Source organism: Homo sapiens, chromosome 11 (assembly GCF_000001405.40).
Source record: "Homo sapiens chromosome 11, GRCh38.p14 Primary Assembly".
NCBI lineage: Eukaryota > Metazoa > Chordata > Mammalia > Primates > Hominidae > Homo > Homo sapiens.
Window position 1 is genome coordinate 83134359 of NC_000011.10, and position 8402 is coordinate 83142760.

Sequence of the window (8402 nt, forward strand, 5' to 3'; positions counted from 1 at the left end):
GTGGCCGGGTGCGGTGGCTTATGCCTGTAATCCCAGCACTACGGGAGGTCGAGGCAGGTGGATCACGAGGTCAGGAGTTCAAGACCAGCCTGGCCAAGATGGTGAAAGCCCGTCTCTACTAAAAATACAAAAAATTAACCTGGCAAGGTGGCGGGTGCCTGTAATCCCAGCTACTCGGAAGGCTGAGGCAGAGAATTGCTTGAACCTGGGAGGTGGAGGTTGCAGTGAGCCGAGACTGCGCCACTGCACTCTAGCCTGGGCAACAAAGCAACAGAGCGAGACTCCGTCTCACAAAAAAAAAAAAGAAAGAAAGAAAGAAAATGAAATCTATCACATTAAGGATCAATATGGAGAAGCAAACAAAACATCCCATGAGACTTCTGAAAAAATTTTATAGGTCGAAGAAAAGTTTGGCTTTCACAGAAGGGATGTGAACTTTCAATGAACTATGAAGGATAACAGCATCTTCCAGAAACCATTGATATTTAAATGTTTAGAAATCATAGACTGTGTGGGCCGGGTGCGGTGGCTCACGTCTGTAATTCCAGCACTTTGGGAGGCCAAGGCGGGTGGATCACGAGGTCAGGAGATCGAGACCATTTTGGCTAATACAGTGAAACCCTGTCTCTACTAAAACTACAAAAAATTAGCCGGGCGCAGTGGCGGGCGCCTGTAGTCCCTGCTACTTGGGAGGCTGAGGCAGGAGAACTGCGTGAACCCGGGAGGCGGAGCTTGCAGTGAGCCAAGATCGCACCACTGCACTCCAGCACTCTAGCCTGGGCGAGAGAGCGAGACTCCGTCTCAAAAAAAAAAAAAAAAAAAAATTAAAAAAAGAAATAATAGACTGTGTGGATGGTTGTAGTAATTCTATTTGTATACCCTAGGAAAATAAAAATGTCTAGCTTGACGGTTAAAAAAAAGAAAGAACTGAAATGCAACAGTGGTTGTTTTTGGTTTGTAGTCTATAGGCAACCAATCAATTTGTTCTTTTCAGTATTTTCCAAATTGTATTTAATGTGTGTGTATTAACTTATAATTGGAACTATATATACTTTTTATTGTTAATAAGTTAAATCATAATTTCTAAGTAAGTATTGTGGAAAACACTAATTTATACACATTATGTATTATTCTTATCTGTTTCATTTAATCGAGAACCTTAATCCCTCTACCTTTCCCCTATTTCATCTACTTTAAACCTACCTTAGTCATTTAATGCTTTTAGATTAATGGTGAAATGACCCACTGGGGCCCAAGTCTTGATCTGATCTTGCAATTTTCAGAAAATAATGTCAAACCTGTCAATTGATTGAGATTAATCTGAGAGGGGAGAGACCAAAAGTGTACCCTGCAGATATGGCTACAGAGTATTCTCAAAAAGTAACTAAGTTTGCTCTAGCACCTAAGAGAATGAGGGAGTCAATTAAACTCTACACTGGACATAGCCAAAAACTATTCTTCCAGAACATAACCTGGAAGCTTTATTTAATTAATAATATTTTTAAAATATATATTTTAAAAAATTTAATTTTGTGGATACATAGTAGATATACATGAAATGTTTTGAAACAGGCATGCAAGGTGAAATAAACACATCATGGAGAATGGGGTACCCATCCCCTCAAGCACTTATCATTTGTGTTACAAACAATCCAATTACATTCTTTTAGTTATTTTTAAATACACGGTTAAGTTATTATTGACCATAGTCACCCTGTTGTGCTATCGTATAGTAGGTCTTATTCACTCTTCTTATTTATCTGTTTTTACCCATTAACCATGCCCACCTAACCCACCCAGCCCCCAGTACCCTTCCCAGCCTCTGGTAACCATTCTTCTACAGTCTATGTCCGTGAGTTCAATTGTTTTCATTTTTAGATCCCGAAAATAAGTGAGAACATGTGATGTTTGCCTTTTTGTGCCCTGAAAGCTTTATTTTTAATAAAAATAAAATATCGGTTTTTCTTTTCCCTTTCAAAAAATTAATACTGTACATGGTCAACGTGGAAAATTAGAAAACAAAACAAAGCTATAATGCAAAATAATTTTTAAAAGTTACCCCAGAAAAGTTTTTTTTTTTTATCTTTTGGATACACTTTTAAAATATAGATTCCAAAGTTGTCTTCTTAACCAACTGAATCAAAATATCCAGTGTGGAAGCCAGAAATCTGCATTTGTAAACCAATATGCCAGGTGAACTGGTGGTTCTATGTAGAGAAGACCCTCGTTACAATGTAGTCCACATTGTGCAAAGCACCTACGGAGTGTATCACTAAAGATAAATTGATTGCATAATGTACACCCAGGTTCTCAATGAGTTATCTTGCTGTATAAGGTAATTTAGCTTTATATTCCCTTCTTGTTTATTGTCATTTGGACTTTTTACCTTCTTTTTGGATACTTTGGCCTAATACACCTATGGAAGCCATCCATCTAAATAAAAAATGGAGACACATCTGATATAGGATTATATGATTATTATTACTATTATTTTATTTGGAAAATTGAGGCTTAGGAGGTGAGGTAACTTGCCTGAAGTCACACAAAGTGGTTGGGACCATATTGAAACTAATTCTACTAATTCTGTTCTAAGTATATAAATACTGAAGTTTTAATGGTGGTTTCTCTATAGAAATAAAATAATTATGATCTTAGGATTTGTTAACCTTAAATCATTGTATTACTTTTAGAAAAAATGAACAGCTTTGGTTGTGGAAGTTGTAGCTACTGACTACACAGACTGCCCACAAAAACCAACCATAAAAGAGAAAACTCTCAGAAATGCTCGATCTTTGCTTAGCATGCAAAGTTTTTCTCCTAGGATTTGTGGTTACCCCATATGCATTGATATTTATCTGATAATCAGAAATTGTGCGTGGGTTGGCCTCCCTGTTTCCAGGACTTATTTATTGGATTCATTATCAGTACCTTCAGCAGGGAACACCAAGACAGTGATTGTTAAGCCTGAGGAAGTATTTATGGGTTTTTAAAATTATTATTAGCTGACACCTGGAATTAAACTATCTAAAAAAAAGACCAGCAGGACACTCCAATTAATAGCAGATTCGAAATAAAATAGTAAAAATGCAAAATGATGACCAAAATTCTGAAATTAGTCATTAGTCTGAAATTGAAGAATGCTGATCTTTAAAGTAAATTTTCATCATTATTCATGAGCTCTCTACACTTGAGATTTTGTGAATTTCTATGAAGTTTGGACTGTCTTGTTCCCAGGATAGAAATAGATCAAAGTGGGAGCTCACCCCATGAGGACAGTTTCAGAGTCAGTGAGTGTTTAGTTCTAGATCAAGAGGTTGGAAGTGAAGTGTTGTCTTTTGGATAGGTAGAACCCAAATCAGAAAGAGTCAAAATAGTATAATTAGCACCAGGCAGGGAGAAGGCATAGGATAATTAAAGAAGGAATACAGAGGAGGAAGACCTGTGAGACAGAAAGAGGACTAGATGCAAAACATAACCTGTGTAACAGAATGTTCATTTTTAGCTGGGCCCGTTGCTACCCATCTTAAAAAATAATAATAACAAAAAATGATAACAAAGAAAAACCCTATTCTTCAAGTTTCCCTTGTAGCTAGGTAGGGCCACAAGCAATTAGAAATGATATATGATTCTTACATCTCTCTCTTTTTTTTTTTTTCCTGAGACGGAGTATCTCTCTGCACTCAGGCCGGAGTGCAGTGGCGTGGTCTCAGCTCACTGCAACCTCCGCCTCCTGGGTTCAAGCAATTCTCCTGCCTCAGCCTACTGAGTAGCTAGGATTACAGGCGTGCACCACCACGCCCGGCTAATTTTTGTATTCCATGTGGACCAGTCTGGTCTTGAACTCCTGACCTCATGATCTGCCCACCTAAGCCTCCCAAAGTTCTGGGATTACAGGTGTGAGCCACCGCGCCCGGCCGATCCTTACATCTCTTTAAAAGGAAGAAGGCCCACCCTTCTTTATTTCTCCATCCTGCTGTCTAGATGATGATAGGATTCCTGGAGTTCCAGCATCTGTCCTGGAACATAAGGATTAAAGCCACCTGTTAAGGATGTGGACTAGAGAGAAGGGGCTTGGGCCTCTGATAGTCTGATAACTTGCCATAACCATCTATCTCAAGACTTCTTTTACATGAGAAATAAATTCTGCATTGTGTAAGTCTCTCCTGTATTGGATTTTTCTGTTATGTGTAGCCAAACTAATCTTGAATAATGTATTTCCAGAGCTGATCTTCTCTGTGGTGGTGGCAGGTACCTCTTTACAAAACCCTTATCAACCCCTAACGTATTATTTTTTATTTTTTACTGCCTGTTTCTTCCCACTAGACTTTTTAAGGACAGGGACTTTTCTTGGCTTTTTGTATCCCCAGCTCCTTGAACAGTGCTCACCATATAGTAGGGGTTCAGTAAATATTTTCTAAATAAATGAATGGTGCCAGGAACTGCAAACTGCAGTTTGCACTGCAAGGAGTGGGCACTGCTGATTCAAAAGAGTCACATTAGGAAGTATAACTTTTGCACCCATTAGTGTATAATGAAACACTGAATTCATACTGTCTTATACTTCTATGCCTTTGCATGAACTGTTCATATTGCCAAGAATGTCTTTTCCCCCTTGCCCACCAGACACACTACTACTTATTTCTAAAGTTTTCCCTTAATCATCACCTTCTCCAGGAGACTCTACCCCAGTCACCACAAGTAGAGCCGATCTTTCTTTTACTCAACTCTATATCCAATTCTTAATTGAATTATAGCACTTAGCATGCTACATTACAACTAATTGTTTGTATGTCTGCCTCTTAGACTGGATTCTGGGACCTGAAGGGTAAAGTATATGACTTACTTAACTCTGTGTTCTTAGGACCTAGCCTAATGCCTGGCTAATGGTCAGACTCGGTGTATGTTTGCCAAGTTCTTAGTAAGATCACAGATCTGAGGATGTGGTTTGAATCTGCTAGTGGGAAATAAAAACTGTAAAGGCACTTTTGGATTACATGTTTAGTGGGAAATAAAAGCTCAAGCTGCGCTGCACCAAGAGAAGGACAACCTGGATTCTGGTCCCAGTCCTGGAGCTTCCTACCCAGCAACCGTAGCCCCTTTGAACATCTGACGCCTCATCTATAAATTGGGACATAAAGACCTCACAGGGCTGTTGTGAAGCTCAAGTCAACAACTGTGGACAAAAGCTCTTTTTGTAAACTATACTATTAGGCAAGAACAAATTTAAAACTGTCCAAGTGGAGAGTTTGTCCTTTTTAAGACAACAATAATCCCCGTAAAATTCTCCTCCCAGTTCTCGAGGCACGTAGATAAATATGCAGTAGTTTTGGTCTGCTCTCCATTCTTAGATCTTGAAAGAGCCTCTGTGAAGCTGGAGCAGCTTTCAAATTTTGAAGTCAGTCTTCTTGAATCAGTCTTCTTCCCTTTGACATAGCTTGTCATAGGGATTCGTATGTATTTAGTATTAATATTTACAATAAGGCCTTTCCCTCCCCTTTGAAAATTCTACGCCAAACAACAGCCAAAATCTGAGGCCTTTTTGTCCTTGAAACTTGGGCTAAATGGCTCCAGCATGTGGAAGACTCCTCCTCTCAGCCTCTCAAAATTGTGTCTCTTCAGAGTATGATAAGAGACATAGCTGGCCGCAGTGGTTAATGCCTGTAATCCCAGCACTTTGGGAGGCCAAGGCAGGCAGATCACTTGAGGTCAGGAGTTCGAGACCAGCCTGCCCAACATGGCTAAATCCCTTCTCTATTAAAAATATGAAAATTAGCCAGGCATGGTGGCTCACCTGTAACCCCAGCTACTTGGGAGACTGAGGCAGCAGAATCACTTGAACTCGGGAGGCGGAGGTTGCAGTGAGCCAAGATCGAGCCACTGTACTCCAGACCGGGCGACAGAGCAAGACTACATCTCAAAAAAAAAAAAAAAAAAAGGAAAGAAAGAAAACGAAAAAAAAAGAAAGAAACAGCATCACACTCATTTTGTTTTGCTCTGATCTTTTGAGTCTTACTTTGATTTGCTCTAGTAGGCTAAAGAATTTAACAACTCAGCCAATGGATTCTGAGTTCTGAGGGGCAGTCATGATTTAGTGGGAAGGGTGTATGAAGAGACAGGGGAAGATTGCAATGGAAGAGGTGCTTTTTTTTTCTTTTTTTTTTTTTTTGAGATGGAGTCTTGCCCTGTCACCAGGCTGGAGTGCAGTGGCATGATCTCGGCTCACTGCAACCTCTGCCTCCAGGTTTCAAGTGATTCCCCTGCCTCAGCGTCCCAAGTAGCTGGGACTACAGGCATGCACCACCATGCCCGGCTATTTTTTGTATTTTAGTAGAGACAGGGTTTCACCATGCTGGCCAGGATGGTCTCAATCTCCTGACCTCGTGATCTGCCCACCTTGGCCTCCCAAAGTGCTGGGATTACAAGCGTGAGCCACCACGCCCGGCCAGGAGGGGTGCTTTCTAATTGCTACCCTTAGCACTCAGGGATGTTTTCTCGGACCTCACCCAGAGCTATACGTAGGATCAAATGGAAATACGGGATCATTAACTCAGCCCTGGAATGCAGTCTAGCAGCATTGATGAAGCAGTTGCCATAGTCCGATTCCTCTGGGCTGGCTGTACACAGAATCTGTGTTGTTGTTGGGAGATCATGAGCACTTTGCAAGTTTCTCCAGTGCTCCTACAGCTTCTGTTCTCACGATGGTTGTGGCTACCTTTTCCCATTTCCCTTATGGGGCCTATAAGTTCTCAAGTTTGCCTTCTGGACTGGGAAGTCTTCCCTTCCAGCTCACAGGTGGCCCCATCAACACTGGAATAGCTATGGCCTTCAATTTTTCAGACTTCTACCTCTGCTCCATCCAGATTACTACTACCACACATACCACATTCGATCTTACTTCCTCATTTCTTTCCTCCACTAGTGCCGCCACCTGGAATGCTCTTCTCTTGTTAATCTTAAATCATGCTTTCATACCCAGTTCTCAAGTGACATCTCACTTTAGTTCAACTTTTCTCAAACTCCTACTATCTATTATGAAGTAGGCATTGCATTAGATTATGGGGCCACAAGGTTAATGATACACAAACATGGTTTCTGACCTCACAGAATTTACATTCTGGGAGAGAAGAAAGACAAGAGAACAAATGGAATACAATGTGATCAGAGAAATCACCTAGTGGCATGGGAAATAGAGATGCCTGGGAGAATTTAGGGCAATTTATGTATTTTCTATGAAAACTTCCTTGAACTATTCAATATACCCATGTGTATTTCCCAGGAACTCTTAATATGTTTGAAGTCACTTAGCTTAGTTCATGTTATTTTTGTGTCTCAACCAGATGTCAGGCCCTCATGTTTAAGAACCATGTTCTTTTGTATCCCACCCATTGTAAGTAACATTTCATAATACTTATCTGGCTTAATAGTTGGTTGCTTGCTTTGGGGTAGAATGGAGTTGGAGAAAAAGCTTTGGTTGGGGAACCAGGAAACACTGGGTTCTAATTTTAGTAATGGCATTTGTTAGTGGTAGACTTTGGCAAGACTATTAGCCTAAGTCTCAGTTCTTAAAATGGAGATAAGAACATTTTCTTCACAAGTTGTTATGATTTAATTAGATAATTTAAGTAAAGTGCCTGGTTTTAAAGTAAAATTCTCTTTCTTCCTCCTCTATTTTCTGAGAGGACTGTTCTTTATGTCTCTCCACAGCTAAAGTGGCCATATTTTTACAAATGAAAAATCTGGACACTAGCTTTGAAAAACTTTTTTCCAGTTTGTGAATTTATTCATATAGAAAAGTCTTACAAAAACATAAAAATTAAACCACATCTAGAGCTTGCCTCTTGAGGACAAGGATCATGTCTGTCTTGTTCAACATTGTAACAGTGCTTATCTCATAATAGGTATTCAACAAAAATCCAAGGATAGAACGAATACATTGATAATAGTAAATTTATATGAAAAGGATTATAAGAATTCACAAAAATCGGTTTCAAATATCAGAATAGGCCAGGCACGATGGCTCATGCCTGTAATTCCAGCACTTTGGGAGGCCGAGGTGGGTGGATCACTTAAAACCAGGAGTTCGGGACCAGCCTGGCCAACATGGCGAAACCCCGTCTCTACTAAAAATACAAAAATTAGCCAGGTGTGTTGCTGCATGCCTGTAATCCCAGCTACTTGGGAGTCTGAGGCAAGAGAATTGCTTGAACCCGGGAGGAGGAGGTTGAGGTGGGCAGAGATTACACTACTGCACTCCAGCCTGGGCAACAGAGCAAGACTCTGTCTCAAAAAGAAATAAAATAAAATAAAATAAAATATCAGAATATTTGAAATTTAGACTGTCTCAAAATGTCCAAATCAAAACTGTATACTCTTGGCTTCAATATGACTGCCTGTGGCACGAA

General features: G+C 40.0%; 1 annotated feature.

Annotated features, from left to right (window-relative positions):
* Positions 7006–7085: an enhancer, noted in NCBI's record as "active region_5346". NCBI's record gives its function as "activates an Ori minimal core promoter by ATAC-STARR-seq in GM12878 lymphoblastoid cells {active_cell/tissue: GM12878}" and the evidence as "EXISTENCE:reporter gene assay evidence [ECO:0000049][PMID:35858748]".